Below are 20,941 nucleotides of genomic sequence, written 5' to 3'. Positions count from 1 at the left end.
CACCCAGGCTGGAGTGCAGTGGCGTGATCTCAGCTCACTGCAACTTCCATCTCCCAGGTTCAAGCAATTCTGTCTCAGCCTCCTGGGTAGCTGGGACTATAGGTGCACGCCACCATGCCCGGCTAATTTTTGTATTTTTAGTAGAGAAGGGGTTTCACCATGTTGGCCAGGCTGGTCTCGAACTCCTGACCTCAGGATATGCACCCACCTCGACCTCCCAAACTGCTGGGATTACAGGCATGAGCCACACCACAACCAGCCCAGATGAGATTTTTAAAGATTCCCAGGATTGAATATATTCTGTATAAACTGGGAGCTGTGAAATGGTATACGATACCTAAAGAAGATCTAATGTTTATAAAATCAACAAAATGAGTGAATCATATGACTGAGAATCAGATGGTTTGACGTAAATTGCTTTAAAACGGATACTGGTTGGGAGGACAAGGTGGGTGGATCACTTGAGGTCAGGAGTTCAAGACCAGCCTGGCCAACATGGCAAAACCCCGTCTCTACTAAAAATACAAAAATTCATCAGGCATAGTGGTGGGCACCTGTAATCCCAGCTACTGAGGAGGCTGAGGCAGGAGAATCACTTGAACTCGGGAGGCAGAGGTTGCAGTGAGCCGAGATTGCACCACTGCACTGCAGCCTGGGCAATAGAGTGAGGCTCCGTCTCAAAATAAAATAAATGAAATGGATACTGGAACTTGTTACACTTCAGAATAAATACCTGGACTAGCATTACAATGCTGTAAACTTTAATTTCTTCCTCTAGTTATATGCATCTTAAATGATCACAATTTTGTACACAGGTCAAATCCCATTACTTTTTTTTTTTTTTTTTTTTGAGACAGGGTCTCGCTCTGTCACCCAGCCTGGAGTGCAGTGGCACAATCTTGGCTCACTGCAACCTCTGCCTCCCATGTTCAAGCAATTCTCCTGCCTCAGCCTGCCGAGTAGCTGGGATTACAGGCGTGTGTCACCATGCCCAACTAATTTTTGTATTTTTAGTAAAGACAGGGTTTCATCATTTTGGCCAGGCTGGTCTCAAACTCCTGGCCTCAAGTGATCTGCCCATCTCAGCCTCCCAAAGTGCTGGGATTACAGGTGGGAGCCACCACATCTGGCCAAATCCCATTACTTTAATTTTGTTTACTTCAACATAAACAAAATCTTAGTAAAGAATTTTTATTGCCTTGCCATGGACTGTTTGAGACTTCTTTAAACAAAAAGTGATATACTGAATAACATTAACATTTAGTATTTAACATTACTTTCTCAGAACTATAAAATAAGCTACTTTTTCAAAAGATTCAAACATACTGTGGAAAGCAAAAATTACTAAACTGGCCAAAAAATATTACAAATCTGATATAATTTTCCTATTAGACAATGAATCTTCTGTTTTAGGAAATTAAAGATCACTCAAAAAAAGAACCAGTGAACAAAAATAACAACAACAACAAAAAAAAATGGTGCTAAGGGTCCTATTGAGGCTATATTTGATTATCTGATTCATTTTTTAAATGCCTTTAGGTTTGTCTCTTCCCATAAAACCTAGTAGTGTTGTTAGTGTTCAGCTACTTCACCCACCAAATTACTTCACATGTCTTGGAGTTTCTCATGTGCAGAATTGTGACCTCTGAGGCTATTAGATATAGCCTTTTACAACTAGAGAATTTCAATTTCTATACTGAAGGAAATTAATTTATTAAAGCAAAATTTCAGGAACTAAAATACCTATAATTAATAGACATCAGCCAGAAACATCTTCCCAAGAGAAGACACAGATTTCTGGCCATTTATATGACTTAAAATGGTAAAACAGTGCTATCCACCTACAGTGAAGAGTCCTACTTAGGGATTTCATTTACATAGTCTCACTTCCTCTGATCTGGTGGCTCTATAGCAAAGTCATCATTTTGTACTCTACCATACAGATTTCCAGACCCTCGTGGGCATCAAGCTGCTTTTAGAGTAAGAGATAAAATATTGCTACTATAAGCAGTAAGTTTAACCACTTCTTTTTGTTTTGTTTTGTTATGAGACAGGGTCTGGCTCTGTCGCCCAGGCTGGAGGACAGTGGTACAATTCTCGGCTCACTGCATGACTCACCTCTGCCTCCTGGGCTCAAGTCATCCTCCCACCTCAGCCTCCCAAGTAGCTGGGACCACAGGTGTGTGCCACCACACCCAGCTAATTTTTGTATATTTTGTAGAGACAGGGTTTCATCATGTTGCCCAGGCTGGTCTCAAACTCCTGGGCTCAACTGATCCACCCGCTTCGGCCTCCCAAAGTGCTGGGATTACAGGCAAGAGCCACTGTGCCCGGCCAAAAGCACTTCTTAAAACTAATTACATCTCTATACAAACTCACCATCTTTCCTGAATCAAAGTCTAAAAAGACTGCTATCTAAATAGTAGCCATTGACAGGGCTGCTCAGAGTGACTACCACTACTAGAAGTCAGTGTAAGCATTAGGTGGCTTTGGCCACTATGTGGATCTTAAGTTTTATCTTCTTCTGATTCCATTTTAACAAATCTGGAAACTGGATGGTATGTCACTTCCAGGACAACTTGCATGTCTTGGCCAGGATGTTATAAACAGGTATCATACCTCCATGTAACTGCTGTTTACACTGCCCTGATACCTCTGCTATCACCAGCCACCTATGCTTAAGAGCACAGAGTGAATGCTGCTCTGAATGTCTGGTGCCGGCCTAAGAAAAGTCTGTGCTTTCCTTCCAAGGTATTCTTTGACTTGAAAGCCTCTTCACACACCAAAATATACACACATGAGGAATAATCATGAAGCAAAAACACGCTTAATCTAAGTTGGAGGTTAATGTTTCACACATAAAACAAGGACTACTAACGTCTAACTCAGAGGTTAGTTTTAACAAATATTATAAATAGCATCAATATTTGTATTTTCTTTCAGGCATAAGTTTCTTATTTGTTTCATTATTACTCAAAAGTAGTCACATGCTTTCCAATTCATACTCAACAAGCTATTTCAGCAAAAAAACACAGGAAAGAAAGGCAGTCTATAGACCCTTCCAACTCATCATGACCTAGAGATTAAAAAAAAAAAGAAGATTCACCAAAAGGTACTGCAATCTGAAGATATCTATATACATTTAAAGATCTAAGCTAACGGTAGCTAGTCACACAGTTGGAATTTGAGGATTTTAAATGTTAATTCCCTCATTGGAATAAATACCTGAATGTTTCAAATCAAAAGTTATGACAAAGACAATGAATGTTCAAGATTCCAAGCTGCACACAGGCACACACAGTGGGGCTGGTCACCACTGCCTTCCAGGAAGTGACTCTCTGATGACTGGACACTGTCTCCTTAAATAATCCCAGGAACATGTCCTATAAAGTTCTTCAGTGGTTTTATTCTGCTTTATACCTAAACTTATCTCAGGAAATTCTTTCTCAGGTCCTTTCACATTTCATTTTTCTGTGGATCCAGAAGAAATGCTCAATAGACTCTTAATGAAAATTCATTATATAATTAGAAAGATAGAAAGTCAAACCCTAGGTTTTTCTTCCTTAGCTTCAGCAATTCTGATTCTTTTAAGTTTTAATGCAGAACTCATTCTTTTTTTTTTTTTTTTTTGAGATGGAGTCTTGCTCTGTCGCCCAGGCTGGAGTGCAGTGGTACGATCTCGGCTCACTGCAACCTCCACCTCCCAGGTTCAATCAGTTCTCTGCCTCAGCCTCCCAAGTAGCTGGGATTACAGGCGCCTGCCACCACGCCTGGCTAATTTTTGTATTTCTAGTAGAGACAGGGTCTCACCATGTTGGCCAGGCTGGTCTTGAACTCCTGACCTCATGATCCACCCGCCTCGGCCTCCCAAAGTGCTGGGATTACAGGCGTGAGCCACCGCGCCTGGCCTGAACTCATACTTTATTTATTTTCTGGAACTCATTTTGTACTCCTGATTTTACTTGTGTCGTTTTTTTTCAGGACTTCACCTCATTCGATACATTTCTTTCCACATGTGGTGACTAAAAAACTAACTGAAAAGATGACTACCAATAGTAGGATTATTAATGACTACAATTACAGAAAACCTAAAAAATGCAAACGAACTTTTCAATTCTCCATTTAATCATAACAATTCACTTACTTGATAAGATTCTGAAAAGCATAACCATCTGTCCACTGTTCAGTAAATGAGGCTCCGTGTCGGACAGTAGTAAAGTGGCCCAGTCTCAAGCGGTCTTGCATGCTCTTATCTCTACACGCCATCTTCTCTTGTTTTGACTTAGGGGAAACAGACAAAAAAAGGAATTCAATACCAATTAGCATGGATAAAGACACTTCTTAGAAACTAAAACATTTAACATTATCAGGAAACATATTATTGAAAACCATACACTTCTCAGAACAGTCAGTAATGACTCCTCGGATGACTAACTATTCCTATTCAAACAAAGTAGACAAGATAGAATAATGAAACAACCACAAGTTCTTCACAGGTAAAGCTTTCCCAATCTGCCTATGTGTGTGTGGGGTTTTTTGTTTGTTTGGTTGGTTTTTTGTTTGTTTTTTTTTTTAAGACAGAGTCTTGCTCTATCACCCAGACTGGAGTGCAGAGTCATGATCTCGGCTCACTGCAGCCTCTTCTTCCCGGGTTCAAGCGATTCTCCTGCCTCAGTCTCCTGAGTAGCTGGGACTACAGGTGCATGCCACCACGTCCGGATAATTTTTTTTTTTTTTTTTTTTTTTGAGACGAAGTCTCACTCTGTTGCCCAAGCTGGAGTGCAGTGGTGGGATCTCGGCTCACTGCAACCTCCACCTCCCGGGTTCAAGCGATTCTCCTGCCTCAGCCTCCCAAGTAGCTGGGACTACAGGCACATGCCACCATGCCCAGCTAATTTTTGTATTTTTAGTAGAGACGGGGTTTCACTGTGTTGACCAGGCTGGTCTTGAACTCCTGACCTCATGATTTGCCCGCCTTGGCCTCCCAAAGTGCTGAGATTACAGGCGTGAGCCACCACACCCGGCCAATTTTTGTATTTTTTAGTAGAGACTGGTTTCGCCATGTTGGCCACGCTGGTCTTGAATTCCTGGCCTCAAGTGATCAGCCCACCTCCACCTCCCAAAGTGCTGAGATTACAGGCCTAAGCTACTGCACCCAGCCTGCCTACATGTTTTTAATCTTAGAGTTCAGCATCTCACATTTGGGCCACATCAATGCCTAGCTCTTAAGCTGTTTCCCTATTTTCTGTTTCTTCTCTATCTAATATTTTCTAGAGAACTGTTACCAATTCATCTTCTCAGAACACCACTTTGCACACTTCCAGTTTGATGTTCCAAATCTTCCATGGGTCTCTGCTACCAAACTTTGGATCCAGACAAGAAAAACCCCTCAATGCGCTAGAAGATCTGCCTCCCTGCAGAATTCTTACTCCAAAACACCTTATATACTCCTGATTCTTGAGAACATCATTCATTGAACACAGGTTTATTTAAAACCAATTATACGTCATGAACTGTAAGAATGTTAAGTATAGGACATAGAAAAAAACTGGTGTTCACAGCCTAGAGAGAGGGGGAGTTATAACCACTAAATATATTAATTGGTAATTCTAAGTACAGACGCGGTAAAGAATTCAAAGGAAAAGAATAAAGTACTGTGAGAGATGATACCATGGGATAAAAGTCCTTGAGATGTCCTGTCTATTTCAACCAACAGGCAATTTATAGCTGCAGTTTTCCATGCCCAGAACACATTTTTCCTCTTCTTTATAGCTTTCTCCAATTAGTCCCCTGCCCTTGATTTATTTTAGTGAATTTATTTTCTTTTTTTTTATTTTAAGAGACAGGGTCTCACTCTGTTGCCCAGGCTGGAGTGCAGCAGTGCAATCACAGCTTACTACAGCCTCCAACTCCTGGCTCCAATGATCCTCCCACCTCAGCCTCCTGAGTAGCTAGGACTACAGGTGTGTGCCACCACACCCAGCTAATTTTAGTGAATTCTTAATATGTGCACTGCTCATCTGAATAGGTTTCCTTATATATGTGAATGTGTCTTATTCGCCCACCCTCATGTAGACTGTTAACCCTCTGATGGCAGGAACTGTGTCTTTTGTTTCTTAGATTCATGCAAGCTGTTCTATTATGAGAAATTCATTCTTTTTTTATTACTGAGTAGTATTCCACTGTATGACAATATAATAATTTGTATCTACATTCACTTGTTAACAGACACCTAGGATGTTTCCACTTTTTGGCTATGAATAAAATTCCCATGAATATTCTCATACAAGTACTTTTATGGACATTTACTTTCTTCTGTTTTTAAAAATAAAGATGGTCTTGCTGTGCTGCCCAGGCTAGTCTCAAACTCCTGGGTTCAAGTGATCCTCCTCCCTGAGCCTCCCAAAGTGCTGGGATTATAGGTGTGAGTCACCATGCCCGGCCAACATTTGCTTTTGTTTGTCTTGGGTAAATGCCAGGAGAGGAACTGCTGGATCACAGGATTTAGTACATATTTATCTCAAATAGAAAAACTGTCCAAAAACCTTCTGAAGTAGCTGTAATATTTTACATTTCTATTGGTGTAACAAATCAGGCTGCCCCTCATCTTCACCAACCCTTGGATCTGTCAGGTTTTTTTTATTTCTAGTCATTCTACTGGGTTTGTAGTACTATCTCACGCTGGTTTTACCTTGAGTTTTCCTGATGGATAATGACATTAAACATCTTTTCATGCTTGCCATTTGCGTATTTTTATACACTCTTTTTTTGTAAACTATCTGTTCAAGTCTCTTGCTCATTATTAATGAGTTGTCTTTTTATGATTAAGTTATAAGAGTTTTAAAATTTTTAAAGTATTCAAATTCTATGAAAGATAACATTGCACTCTATGATTGCATTTTCATTTGTGTGTTTTTTGTTTTGAGACAGTCTCATTCTACTACCTAGGCTGGAGTGAAATGGCATGATCTCAGGCTCACTGCAATCTCCGCCTCCCAGGTTCAAGTGATTCTCGTGCCTCAGCCTCCAGAGTAGCTAAGATTACAGGCGCACACCCCCACACTCAGCCAATTTTTGTATTTTTAGTAGAGATGGGGTTTCACCATGTTGGCCAGGCTGATCTCGAACTCTTGACCTCAAGTGATCCACCCTCATTGGCCTCCCAAAGTGCTGGGATTACAGGCGTGAGCCACCACACCCAGTCCATTTATGCTGCTTTATATTGCATCACGGTGTAGCAGATACTCAATAAATACTCCCTATTTAGAAAGTCAGTAAGTAGATACTACAATTTCAGTTCTTTTGGAAACAAATTTAAATTTTGTTATATACTACTCCTAGCAAAGAGAAAGTTGTTTTCCTGTGAGAACTCAGAGACAGCATTATGTTTACTTTTTGTAGTATGCTATTTAGAGTTTAGAACAACTGGCTGAATCTCTGCTGATTTCAGGAAGTATTCTAAAACTTCAAAGAAATTATCTGGATTAGCATATATTTTATTTTTTCTCACTCTCAGAAAAAATTTTAAAAAGTGGTTTCTTTTCTATAAAGTTGATTAATGAGTCAAAGAATGAAACAAAATTTCCCCCAGTATCTTCGGCCTCAATAAAATAATTCATTTCACTTTTACTGAAAGACAGTGTTTCCTGTCTTTTTAACAACATTCCAAACATTTCAGGAAAATAAATCTCCAGTATATCTCAAACCTCTAGTTTGTTCTTGTAATATTGTCATTAGGAAGTACTGTCTTCTTAAAACTTCTAAGAAATAGGCTGGGCGCAGTGGTGAGCGCCTGTAATCCCAGCACTTTGGGAGGCCGAGACGGGTGGATCACTTGAGGTCAGAAGTTCAAGCCCAGCCTGGCCAACATGGCGAAACCCCGCAATTCCTCAGGGATCTTGAACTAGAAATACCATTTGACCTAGCAATCCCATTACTGGGTATATACCCAAAGGATTATAAATCATGCTGCTATAAAGACACATGCACATGTATGTTTATTGTGGCACTATTCACAATAGCAAAGACTTGGAACCAATCCAAATGTCCAACAATGATAGACTGGATTAAGAAAATGTGGCACATATATACCATGGAATACTATGCAGCCATAAAAAATGATGAGTTCATGTCCTTTGTAGGGACATGGATGAAGCTGGAAACCATCATTCTCAGCAAACTATCGCAAGGACAAAAAAACCAAACACTGCATGTTCTCACTCATAGGTGGGAATTGAACAATGAGAACACATGGACACAGGAAGGGGAACATCACACACCGGGGCCTGTTGTGGGTTGTGGGGAGTGGGGAGGCACAGCATTAGGAGATACACCTAACGTTAAATGACGAGTTGATGGATGCAGCACATCAATATGGCACATGTATACATATGTAACTAACCTGCATGTTGTGCACATATACCCTAAAACTTAAAGTATAATTAAAAAAAAAATACAAAAATTGGCCGGGCATGGTGGCGCACGCCTATAAACCCAGCTACTCAGGAGGCTGAGGCAGGAGAATTGCTTGAATCTGGGAGGCGAAGGCTACAGTGTGCTGAGATCATGCCACTGCACTCCAGCCTGGATGAGACTCAGCCTCAAAAAAAAAAAAAAAAAATTCTAATAGTTACTAATACCTATTAACAGAGATAAGTGATAATTAACCAATGAATATAATAAAGAGGACATCAGCCAATTAAGTAATCATATGCAGGTATATGACAACTTTAATTTTTTAATGCACAAAGCATTAATTATCACATTATTATATACATAAGTTATTCTAAATGCCATCTCTGAAACAAAAATGCAACTATTGTTAATGATTCTAATAGTAATAGGATACTCACTTCAATTGATAGAATGAATATAAGAATATAGGAGAGCAATACCCCAAATAAACTCAACTAGGACAAGCTGTCTCTGTTCAATATCACACTCAAAGCAATGCACAGCAACAAAGCATATCCCAAATTAACACTCTGGATGGTTGGTCTGGTGTCCATGTAAGGAAAAAATTCTAATTGTCAAATCATGTTCCTAAAAAGCTCTACTTTTAAATATTTTCATCTCAAGTAAGGAATAAGAAGCCACACAATGACACACATTGAGTATCTTGGGATACAGAGTTTAGACCAACATTATTCACTAACCTTTTCTATAAGGAGTTTCTTGCTCATTGTCACACATCTATTTAATCGTTCCTTGTATTTCTCTAGCATCTTTTGCTGTTCATCAATCTGCCGTCTCAAATCACAGTTGGCCTTCAATGAGAAAAAAATTTTTAATTAGCTCCAAGGAAGAAGATTAATGGAAAAGCAGTTTCTAGGGAGAGAAAAAAAAATCATTTCTATATGTTGTTTTATCAAAAGCAAAATTAAAGTTCAAACAGGTAAGAAGTAACTATGTCTTAGAAAAAGTAAATAATTCATTCCTTTATTCTCTCATAACATATCATCTATTTGTAAATGATAAATTGAATTACTAATTTGGGCATGTTTTTCTACTGATCATATTTTGCTCCTGCCAATAACCAGTTACAGCTACTCTTGTAATCACAAACACCTAAGCTATCACAAAATAATAATTAAAAAAATGTTAAAGCTGGGAATCGTGGCTCATGCGTGCAATCCTAGCACTTTGGGAGGCCGAGGCAGGCAGATGACTTGAGGTCAGGAGTTCAAGACCAGCCTGGCCTGCGTGGTCAAACCCCATCTCTACTAAATATAAAAAAATTAGCCACACATGGTTGCGGGAGCCTGTAATTCCAGCTACTCGGGAGGCTGAGGCGGGAGAATCGCTTGAACTCAAAGGCGAAGACTGCAGTGAGCCAAGATCACGCCACTGCACTCCAGCCTAGGTGACAGAGTAAGACTTCATCTCAAAAAAAAAAATAAAAAATAAAAAAAAAATAAACTACAATGAATGTTTAAAATACAAAGAGTGATTAAGCACATACAAAAAAATTACTGAATTTTATGTTTGCTTTGTTCTTTTTCTAGTCGCATTTAAGAAAGATAAATTTGCATAAATGTTCCTCACCAGAGAAGCCAGGCACGCCCATGCCCACAAAAGACAGAACAAACAAACAACGTCCTGGTTCAAGAATGCCAGAATGTAAATATACAGCTAATTTAGCTGTGGTCAGAAGCCTACAGTGTGGACTAAAAACTTAAAGCCTCCTGCAATAACAGAGAAGGAAAGAACCACTAACCCAAGGACGAATTTGACTTGCAAGTCCTGAATTTATTCCTTTTGTGTTAAAAAAAAGATCTCAGCTCTTCTAGCAAATAATGTTACCTCATAAAAACTCACTTAAATTATGAAAAAGAAAAACCTGTTATGTGTTCCTAAAATACTAAAAGGCACAAACAGAAGATATCACACGATACTCAATTTTTGAGACCTTGTAGCTTCATTAAAAATTTTTATCATTTTTTCTTTTGTATAATATAGCATCATTTTTAAAGTAACCCATGAGAAACAGCTTCTGTCTCCAAATGTTTCTCCTCTCCCCATCAGCATAATTTCTTCCTGTTAGTTTTTGTACAGAACCATATTATCAAAGACAGAGTGTAACTACATTTGGGTAAGTGTGATTACCAAATTCATAGTAAAGAATCTACGAAGCAAAGATCATTTAATGTATATGGAAAACCCAGTCTACTCATAAGGTGAGTGTTCCCTTGAAATCTATAATCAAATGTATGAAATCCATCAACCTCTTGGCAGTTATTTAAAATTTTAATAATTCTAAGTTTTTGTGGCTTCTGACACTAATGTCTTCGAGGAGTTCATGTTTAAAGTAACAGCTGGCAGCTGGTGAGCGTGGCTCATGCCTATAATCCCAGCACTCTGGGAGGCCGAGGCAGGAGCATCAATTAAGCCCAGGAGTTCAAGACCAGCCTCGGCAACATGGCAAAACCTTAGTCTCTATAAAATTTTGAAAATTAGCCATGTGTGGTGGCATGCGCCTCTGATGCCAGCTGTTCGGGAGGCTGAGGATTGCTTGAGCCTGGGAGGTCGAGGCTGCAGTGAGCTGTGATTGCACCACAGCACTCCAGCCTGGGAGACAGAGCAAGACACTGTGTCCTTTTTTTTTAATTAAAAAAAAGAAAAAAAAAAAGCAGCTGGCTAGTAGCTCCCAATGCAGCCATACCCAACATCTTATTAAAATGGCAAAATTCAATGAATGACGTCTGAAAGAATATACAAGACATGTAGTCTTTCCCTCACTGTCGATCCTCTAGATCTTCTAGAAGCACAAGTTCTAATCAACCTAAAAACAAGGCAGCTGCCCTCTGTGTCTTCCTTTTTTATTTATCTACTCCTTTAGTACTGCTCTACATACAAATAAAGACTGCAACAGTCTGAAGACGACGGAGTAGAAGGGACAGTAGTGAGTGAAGGAAACATATTGCTTATTAGAAAACATAAGCAAACATTTTTTTGAAACTCCTAAAGCAGTACCAAGTTAGGATTCAAGTTTTTCTCATACTCTGTCATCTCAATCTTAAAGAGTCAGATGATGGAGAAAGGCACGCCCACAATTCTTCCTCAGTACAGCAGAGCTTCTCTGTACAAAACCCTGACAGATACTGGAATTTGGCAAGGAGCTTTTTACACCCACAAACCATTTCATTATAAATCTTCGATGGCAATTCAACCAGCACCCAGATGAATAAAAACAGGAATAAGAGCAACTCCATGCAAGTATACATATCCGAACAATGAAAAATACAACACAGTGCTGAGACTACATATGGGTCTCCTCATTCAAAGATGGAGGAAAGGAAATAAAAATAACAATAGTAAATAAAAACAACAACAAAAATAGGCCCAAGGAATACAGAAAATCAGCTTGAAAACAATGAAAATGATCACCCATAGAAATCAAAAGAACATTTTAGAATACTTCTTGTCATATTTCATAAAATGCAAAAAGACGTGATATCTAGGAAATAGGAACCAAAAACCCTAGAGAATATACAAGATGGGGTAAGAAAGTATATTAGATGAGGGAAAAAAGCAGGGAAATTTAAAATGTAAATAATAGGCCTGGCACGGTGGCTCACGTCTGTTATCCCAGCACTTTGGGAGGCCAAGGTAGGAGGTTTGCTTGAGCCCAAGAGTTCAAGACCAGCCTGGACAACATAATGAGACCCTGTTCCTACAAAAAATAAAAAAATTAGCCAAGCACAGTGGCACATGCCTGTAGTCCCAGCTATTCAGGAGGCTGAAGTGAGAGGACTGCTTGAGCCTGGGAGATGAAGGCTGCAGTGAGCCATGACGGTGCCACTGCACCCAGCCTGGGCAACAGCAAGACACTGTCTCAAAAAATAAAAATGTAAACAATAAAATCAAAATTCACACGAGCTGCAGTAAATGCCAGAAATATATGGAAGACAGTGTTTAATGAGATTCAGAAGAAAGGGGCAATCATATTAAAATAAGACATAACATGTGAGAAATAAAGGAGAGAAATCAGAGATTCAAGCTAAGAGTCAAGAAGAAACCAATATAAAGAGGGATAAAAGCATAGTTAGACATAATCACACATTTTCCAAATAAAAATATATAAACCCACATATAGAGACACCCTGGGGTAATATTTAACAAATTATGGTGTTTGCTGCTTTGGTCATGAACCTCTCTGAAATACGAAATGCTTGAAAAACTGAAGGAGAAACAGAGAGAGAGAATGCGTGTTATATTTGAGAGGCAGAACGAATAGAACAAGGGGTTATGACACAAAAATCCTGCACACAGTGTTGTCTTTCCACGGGAGGGCAAAAGAGAGAATTCTCAGGTCGGTAAGGCAGAGAAAATTTAACACTGACAAATCCTTGCTGAAAAATAATCACTTAAAAATGTACCACCATCAACAGATAAAACAAAAACTATAAATAAAAAAAATACTGCTGATAAGTTTTGAAATCAGTTGAATAAACAAGTCTAACAATGACTACAAATTTGGTCATAAAGCTGCCTCTGCCTATACTCTATACATAAGAACTTAGTATCATATATAGCAGTAAGAATGGTAATTTAACAATAATAATATAGGCCGAGCGCAGTGACTCACGCCTGTAATCCCAGCACTTTGGCAGACCAAGGCAGGCTGATCACTGCAGGTCAGGAGTTCGAGACCAGTGTGGCCAATGTGGCAAAAACCCATCTCTATTAAAAATACAAAAATTAGCCAGGCATTGTGGGGCATGCCTGTAATCCCAGCTACTTGGGAGGCAGAGGCAGGAGAATCACTTGAACCTGGGTGACAAAGTGAGACTCTGTCTCAAAAAATTAATAATTAATTAATAATATAAACAGCCAAATGTAGTGGCACATGCCTATAGTCCCAACTACTTGGGAGGCCAAGGTGGGAGGATCACATCAGGCGGGGACTGGGGAGCGCACAGCTTGCAAGACTGCGCCACTGCACTCCAGCCTGGGTGACAGAGTGAGATCCTGTCTCAAAATAAATATATAAAATTAATAATAATAGCCGGGCGCGGTGGCTCACGCCTGTAATCCCAGCACTTTGGGAGGCCGAGGTGGGTGGATCACAAGGTCAGGGGTTCGAGACCAGCCTGACCAACATGGTGAAACCCCGTCTCTACTATACAAAAATTAGCTGGGCGTGGTGGCGGGCGCCTGTAATCCCAGCTACTCAGGAGGCTGAGGTAGGAGAATTGCTTGACCCCAGGAGGCGGAGGTTGCAGTGAGCTGAGATCACGCCACTGCACTTCAGCCTGGGCGACAGAGCAAGACTCTGTCTCAAAAAAAAAAAAAAAAATTAATAATAATATAAACACACCAGACTTTACTAATAAAGGCCAGACTTAGTTTAGCTATGTGCTGAATTCCAGGTTTTATATAAAAAGGAGTCAAAATACACTATTTTACCCTATGTTTTCATTAAGTACAGAAATATAATACAAGTAAAACAATTTTGGAAGTCAGATCATCATGAGTACAGTGACTTTTATAATCTGTATTATTAAACATATATTCAAACAAAATTGTACCCAAAGCCTAGTAAGAAAGACTGACAAAGGCAAGGCTGCCGATCCCCACCTTGCAGTGTCACAGTAGCCCTGGAGGTTTCAGGACCCTGAAGAGTCAGATTAACTACCACATTAGCACAAATAAGGATTAAACCTATACCTTCTAAATCACTAAAGAGAAAAATGCTAGCCAATGTTATTCATAAATCAGTAACATTTATGTATATATTCATTTGTGTGTGTGTGTGTGTATATATACACACACATATCTACTTCAAACAGCTCAAAATTACTGAAAAAAAAAATGTACCAAATGTTTAATCCCAATTAATGGAATTATGAGTGACACATTTTTCTGTATTTTGTAAAGAGCATGTATAATTTTTTTTTTTTTTTGAGGCAGGGTCTTGCTCTGTTGTCCATGCTGGAGCACAGCAGCGTGAACTTGGCTCACTGTAGCCTAGAGGTCCTGGGCTCAAGCATCTTCCCACCTCACGCTCCCAGTAGCTGGGACCACAGACACACCACCATGCCTGGCAAATTTTGTATTCTTTTATAGAAATGGGGTCTTGCTGTGTCATGCATGCTGGTCTCAAACCCCTGATCTCAAGCAATCCTCCTGCCTCAGCCTCCCAAAGTGGCAGGTATGGGCCACCATGCCCGGTCCTTTTTACTTTCTTATTTTTTTCTTGAGACAAAGTATCACTCTGTCGCCCAGGCTGGAATGCAGTGGCGCAATCTCAGCTCACTGCAACCTCCGCCTCCCAGGCTCAATCAATTCTCCTGTCTCAGCCTCCCAAGTAGCTAGACTACAGCCGCTTGCCACCACACCAGGATAACGTTTTATATTTTTTTAGTAGAGACAGGGTTTCTTTTTACCATGTTGGCCAGGGTGGTCCCAAACTCCTGACCTCAAGTGATCCACCTGCCTTGGCCTCCCAAAGTGCTGGGATTACAGGTGTGAACCACCATGTCCGGCCCTTTTTACTCTTTAAAAACTATGAGTCAGTCATGCCAAATTGCATATTCAAAATATATTGATATTTTCTAGTGGTATCTATTTAATTCCAGATGAAGCATTTTAAAGGTTTCTTTTGTAAGCACAAAAAAGTTTGGGTGAGTAGGTTATAAAAGGTACAAAAAGCAAAATGGGCTAATAAGTCCTTTGAAATAGCTTATAAAATTCAACAATATTAAAATAACTTCTCTGGAATGGGAAAACAACACTTTATACTTATTCCCACAGTTCTAGATGAAATATAACACTCCACATATCTATTTCTCCAATATAAATTCAATCATTAAAACACTACAGTATAAGATTTCCAATTTAAAGGTAGTGTTTAGAATGCAGGAACCTGGTTCCTACTCAGATTCCCTCAATTAAAGAAAAATACCCAAATGTTTATTATTTCATTGTTATTTGGCTATAGTAATTACTTCTATGATATGTACATAATCCAAATATATATAACAAATGGTGCTTGCTATAAAATCTCTTACATTTTAATACTTACTCTTAATAAATCATCTATTCTTCCCTCCTTCTTCTCTAAGTCAGAATTCTTACTGTTTTCTAGTGCAGATATTTTTTCTATTGTGAGGTCGGACTACAGAGACAAAGGTAAAACAAATTTAGGATTAGTCTCAACATGTTATATGTCATCACACTCTTCTCATTACCTTTCTCGGGGGGGTGGGAAAAAGCACTTGCTCACACAAATGGCCTAGAATCACATGGCTTAAGAAATGAAATCTGCTTGTCTCATCTCATTCTTCAAGTCCTCTGCTGGGTTCCTTATGTCCCACTACACCTACACTTCAAACACATGTTAATTCTGGAATCAAATGTATGAATTCTCACTACTGTGCACTGAACAATGTAGAAACACGTTACTCCAGAAATGAAACTAACTTTGAATAGAAAAGGATCTCACAGGAGACTTGACACACAACTCTCTAAGGAACAAATGCGCCATCTGGTGGAAACAGAGAGCAATCAGAAGGGAAGAGAAGAAGCTACCTGAGTGCTCAACTATCTAACTGAACTGTACAAGAGCTGGTGATTTAGATAAAATTCAAATGTGCTCCAGGGAGTTGTATACCTCTTGAGATTTAAGAAATTCTCCTAGATTGCCAACGATCCTGTCTTGAAGGTAATATATATAGTATCAAAAGAGCCTTCAAGAAAACCCAGTATACTCAAAACTACAAAATGGAAGCTATAGCCACCATCCTTTGCAGATACAATCCTCAAATGTTCAGAACACTACCTAAATTAAAGAGTTTCTGAACACAATTTAAGGAGTAAACCATGTTGGTATCTCACATCTGAGAGAAGTTTAGCCAGGTATAAATAAGTAAGCAGGAAAAGGAATACATTAACTACTTTCATAAATTAGAGAATTAACATTTATTGAAAGCCTACTACAAGTACACTACTAATAAACATTTTGTATACACTGTCTGAGATCATGAGAATCAACCATATTTTCACAGATGATTTGTACTAAGAAAAACTGAGGCCCAGGCCAGAATCTGAACTTAGAGGCCTTCAAAGCGTAGGTACTTTTCTTCTGTGGAATACTGTAGGGAAAAAAAAAAAAAAAAGGTGTGCAGTTTCCTTAACACCATGCTTTAGCATAAGCATTTCTGCTACAATACACCGGAAGAGTAAAGAAAAGCCTCAAAAAGTTAAAGCACCTTCCAAAGGACTTTAAATACCCATAATGCAAGTTATGAATATAATACACACAAATAATGAGGTGGTCAGAGAAATACAGAGAAGTCAGAGAAGAATGACAGACTACACAGGTTAGCCCTTATTCCTACACAGCAGGTATGCCCCTCAATTGATTATCGATCACCAACCTACCTGGGTCTGTCTGTGCTGGATGGAGATCTGTTTTTGGGAGCTGCAGGAATGCTCTGTGTTGCCAGATCCCGTAGATGAGGGACTGTTTTGCTGAGCCTACAATAAAGGTGCATTACCAATCACAGGAAAGTTTGGCATCTTTTTCCACAAACACTTGTATTAATGCAAACAACTCCATAATTTGTATCTCCACAATACAAACCCCTTCTTATGAAAGTGAGAAGTCAGGGCCACGTGGCCAAGAAGAAAGTAAAACAATTCAAATATGAGACAAAGGGCTGGACATGGTGGTTTATACCAAGTTCCTGTAAACAGGTTTAAAGTATCAAATGCTTACAAATGAATTTTTAAAATATGAAAATTAGAGAAAATGAAAAGTTATTCCTGTAATAACTTGCCTTTTTCACTTGTATTTTCATATGCTTTAGTCAGAAAAGGCTAGTGAAGCATCCAATGCACAGGGGATGCATGTAAAGGACTGTGAACCACTATTCAGAATAGTCTCCTAAACACACAAACATTATCCATGAACACACAGCGGTCTAAAATCCAGGTTGATTTCTAATACTGTCACTTGCTGACTGGGCATTCTAAGGCATTTTAAATTTATACGGTTTAGGTTCCACAATATAATTAACCTATTCAGGTTAATTATATTATATTCTCAATAATACTTTTTTTTTTTTTTCTTTTGAGATGTAGTCTTGCTCTGTCACCCAGGCTGGAGTACAGTAGCACGATCTGGGCTCACTGCAAGCTCTGCCTCCCGGGTTCATGCCATTCTCCTGCCTCAGCCTCCCGAGTAGCTGGGACTACAGGCACCCGCCACCATGCCTGGCTAATTTTTTGTATGTTTAGTGGAGACAGGGTTTCACTGTGTTAGCCAGGATGGTCTTGATCTCCTGACCTCATGATCCGCCCGCCTCAGCCTCCCAAAGTGCTGGGATTACAGGCGTGAGCCACCACACCTAGCCTAACAGTACTTTTTAAAACAAGGTAAAACTGCAGCTAACAAAGTATGACCCATCACAGACATAAGTAGAAAATATTCAATATTCTGAGAATCATGGAATGGTAAAAATACAGTACTACTATCTCATCAGAGAATACAGCATTTCCACATGTGAATTTCTTCTGATACTTTCTACATATTCTTTTGATTACTGTTCTTACTCATTAACATATTAACAATGGTATAACCACCAACTATTGAACAAGTTACTGTAACCTAAATGTTTCACTGTCATTGTCACAGGTTAATTCTTACAAAATCCTATAAGGAGACTGGGTCAGGTGGCTCACCTGTAATCCTAGCACTTTGGGAGGCTGAATCAGGTGGATCACTTGAGGACAGAAGCTCGAGACCAGCCTGGCCAACATGGCAAAACCCTATCTTACTAAAAATACAAAAATTAGCTAGGCACAGTGGTGCACACCTGTAATCCCAGCTACTCAGGAGGCTGAGGCAGGAGAATTGCTTGAGCCTGGGAGGCGGAGGTTGCAGTGAGATGAGATCACACCACTGCACTCCAGCCTGGGTGACAGAGCAAGACTCTGTCCTATAAGGTGGTTGTAATTATTAGTTCCATTTTACAAATAAATAAAATAAAAATCAGAGATATTAAGTACCTATGTGAGTTCACAGAGCTAGTGGGTGGGGTGACCAGAACTGGGGGTTGTGTCCACAATAACTGCTCTCAATGACCACAGTAGACTGTTACCACCAGCCTGTGAGCAAACTAGCACTTCCTACACACGATTTCATTGAAGGCTCACAACAGCCTCATCAGATAGGCAGCATTATTAACGCCATTTTAATGTATACATTCAATGACTATTTATTAAGTACTCCCTATGTCTAAGCACTGTGCTAGGTGCTAGGTACACATGGTAAGAGAAACCACAGACCCAGTCCTTACTCTGCCTTAATGAAGCTTACAATCCAAAACAAGATTTACTAAACACTTGGTAAATATTTGTTGAAAGAAACTGTTGAATAAACAATCATATAATAAATACACAATCACAATTAGGATAAGTGCTAAAAGAGCATATAACAAGGCACATAACCTAATTTAGAGGGTCAGGGATAAACCTTTAAAAAGTTTATGATTTGAGGCTGAGCACAGTGGCTCATGTCTGTAATCCCAGCACTTTGGGAGGCCGAGGTGGGTGGATGACCTGAGGTCAGGAATTCAAGACCAGCCTGGCCAACATGGTGAAACCCCATCTCTACTGGAAATACAAAAAATTAGCCAGGCGCAGTGGCGCACACCTGTAATCCCAGCTACTGGGGAGGCTGAGGCAGGAGAATCGCTTGAACCTGGGAGGCGGAGCTTGCAGTGAGCCAAGATTGTGTCACTTCACTCCAGCCTGGGCAACAGAGTGAGACTTCGTCTCAAAAAACAAAAAAAAGTTTATGATTTGAGGCTGGGTGCGGTGGCTCAGGCGTATAATCCCAGCACTTTGGGAGGCTGAGGCAGGTGGATCAGCTAAGATCAGAAGTTGAAGACCAGCCTGGCCAACATGGTGAAATCTCATCTCTACTAAAAAAAAAAAAAAACAATACAAAACAAAAAAAATTAGCCAGGCGTGGTGGTGGGCGCCTGTAATCCCAGCTACTCAGGAGGCTGGGGCATGAGAATTGCTTGAGCCCGGGAGGTGGAGGTTGCGATGAGCTGAGATCACACCACTGCACTCTAGCCTGGGTGACAGAGCAAGACTCCGTCTTGCGGTGGGGGTCTTGGGGGGGAGCACCAAGTCTATATAATTCCAAATAACTAAATATGTTCTCTACTCTAGGATGCAGCAAATCCAATCTTTCCTTACTAATTAAGGGTCATCATTATGAACCTCAAGTATTATAATGCACTAGGATACAAGCATTTGTATAACTGAAGATTTCCTTCAGTTATCATTTGATTGCTTTTACAATCCTCTCCTTTTACAATGTGTTTCTATTTTTTTTTTTTTTTTTTTTTTTTTTTTTTTTTTTTTTTGAGATGGAGTCTTGCTCTGTCACTTAGGCTGGAGTGTAGTGGCACGATCTCGTCTCACTGCAAGCTCTGCCTCCCAGGTTCACGCCGTTCTCCTGACTCAGCCTCCCGAGTAGCTGGGACTACAGGCACCCGCCACCACTCCCGGGTAATTTTTTGTATTTTTTTTTTAGTACAGACGGTGTTTTCACCAGGTTAGCCAGGATGGTTTCGATCTCCTGACCTCATGATCCCCCCACCTCGGCCTCCCAAAGTGCTGGGATTACAGGTGTGAGCCACCGCGCCCGGCCCTACAATGTGTTTCTATACAAATGACTGTCTGAACTATATTTATAATAAGAGCCAATAAGAATCAAATGATTAGACTGGGTGCAGTGGCTCACACCTGTAATCCCAGCACTTTGGGAGGCTGAGGTGGGTGGATCATGAGGTCAGGAGTTCAAGACCAGCCTGGCCAACATGGTGAAACCCTGTCTCTACTAAACATACAAAAAAAAATAATCTGGGCGTGGGGGCGGGTGCCTATAATCCCAGCTACTCAGGAGGCTGAGGCAGGAGAACTGCTTTAACCCAGGAGGTGGAGGTTGCAGTGAGCCGAGATCATGCCACCGCACTCCAGCCTGGGCGACACATCAAGACTCTGTCTCAAAAAATAAAAAATAAAAAAAAGAATCAAATGATTAAAAGACACTTCTACAGATTTCTAGATATATGGTATATTGGTTTAAATATGCTTATATCTGATTCTAAGTTTTCTTCCAGCAAACTGAGGGTGTTAGAAAGTGATGTAGTGAGATATTTCTAAATTAAAGCTCACATAGGGCCGGGTGCAGTGGCTCATGCCTGTAATCCTGTCACTTTGGGAGGCCAAGACAGGCAGATCATGAGGTCAGGAGTTCAAGACCAGCCTGGCCAATATGGTGAAACCTCGTCTCTACTAAAAATATAAAAAATTAGCCAGGTGTGGTGGTGCGTGCCTGTAGTCCCAGCTACTTGGGAGGCTGAGGCAGGAGAATCGCTTGAACCTGGGAGGCAGAGGATGCAGTGAGTCGAGATCGTAC

General features: G+C 40.1%; 1 protein-coding gene across 43 annotated transcripts in view, besides 3 other annotated features; it reads right to left on the bottom strand.

The window, feature by feature from the left end:
- Positions 1 to 20,941, bottom strand: part of TLK2 (tousled like kinase 2) — a 144,568-nt gene that overhangs the window by 46,200 nt on the left and 77,427 nt on the right. For 32 of the 43 annotated variants that reach the window (XM_024450552.2, XM_024450553.2, XM_047435179.1 and 29 more), the window contains 4 exons: positions 16,885 to 16,980; positions 15,527 to 15,619; positions 9,156 to 9,266; positions 4,145 to 4,281 (listed from right to left, as the gene is read on the bottom strand). In XM_024450552.2, coding sequence (XP_024306320.1) covers positions 4,145 to 4,281; positions 9,156 to 9,266; positions 15,527 to 15,619; positions 16,885 to 16,980 — 437 coding nt within the window. The remainder of the gene's footprint in view (positions 1 to 4,144; positions 4,282 to 9,155; positions 9,267 to 15,526; positions 15,620 to 16,884; positions 16,981 to 20,941) is intronic. The other 11 variants (XM_047435183.1, XM_047435185.1, XM_017024055.3 and 8 more) reach the window with 2 other exon arrangements.
- Positions 752 to 1,223: a silencer, noted in NCBI's record as "fragment chr17:60645420-60645891 (GRCh37/hg19 assembly coordinates)". NCBI's record gives its function as "represses an EF-1alpha promoter that drives an FKBP-Casp9 reporter gene in an ReSE screen in K562 erythroleukemia cells {active_cell/tissue: K562}" and the evidence as "EXISTENCE:reporter gene assay evidence [ECO:0000049][PMID:32094911]".
- Positions 3,011 to 4,210: an enhancer, noted in NCBI's record as "CDK7 strongly-dependent group 2 enhancer chr17:60642433-60643632 (GRCh37/hg19 assembly coordinates)". NCBI's record gives its function as "activates an origin of replication core promoter dependent on BRD2, BRD4, P300/CBP, MED14 and CDK7 cofactors, with strong dependence on CDK7, by STARR-seq in HCT116 cells {active_cell/tissue: HCT116}" and the evidence as "EXISTENCE:reporter gene assay evidence [ECO:0000049][PMID:35650434]".
- Positions 9,469 to 9,827: a silencer, noted in NCBI's record as "fragment chr17:60636816-60637174 (GRCh37/hg19 assembly coordinates)". NCBI's record gives its function as "represses an EF-1alpha promoter that drives an FKBP-Casp9 reporter gene in an ReSE screen in HepG2 liver carcinoma cells {active_cell/tissue: HepG2}" and the evidence as "EXISTENCE:reporter gene assay evidence [ECO:0000049][PMID:32094911]".

This window comes from Homo sapiens, chromosome 17 (assembly GCF_000001405.40).
Source record: "Homo sapiens chromosome 17, GRCh38.p14 Primary Assembly".
NCBI classification, from domain to species: domain Eukaryota; kingdom Metazoa; phylum Chordata; class Mammalia; order Primates; family Hominidae; genus Homo; species Homo sapiens.
This window is presented reverse-complemented; position numbering and strand designations above follow the sequence as displayed.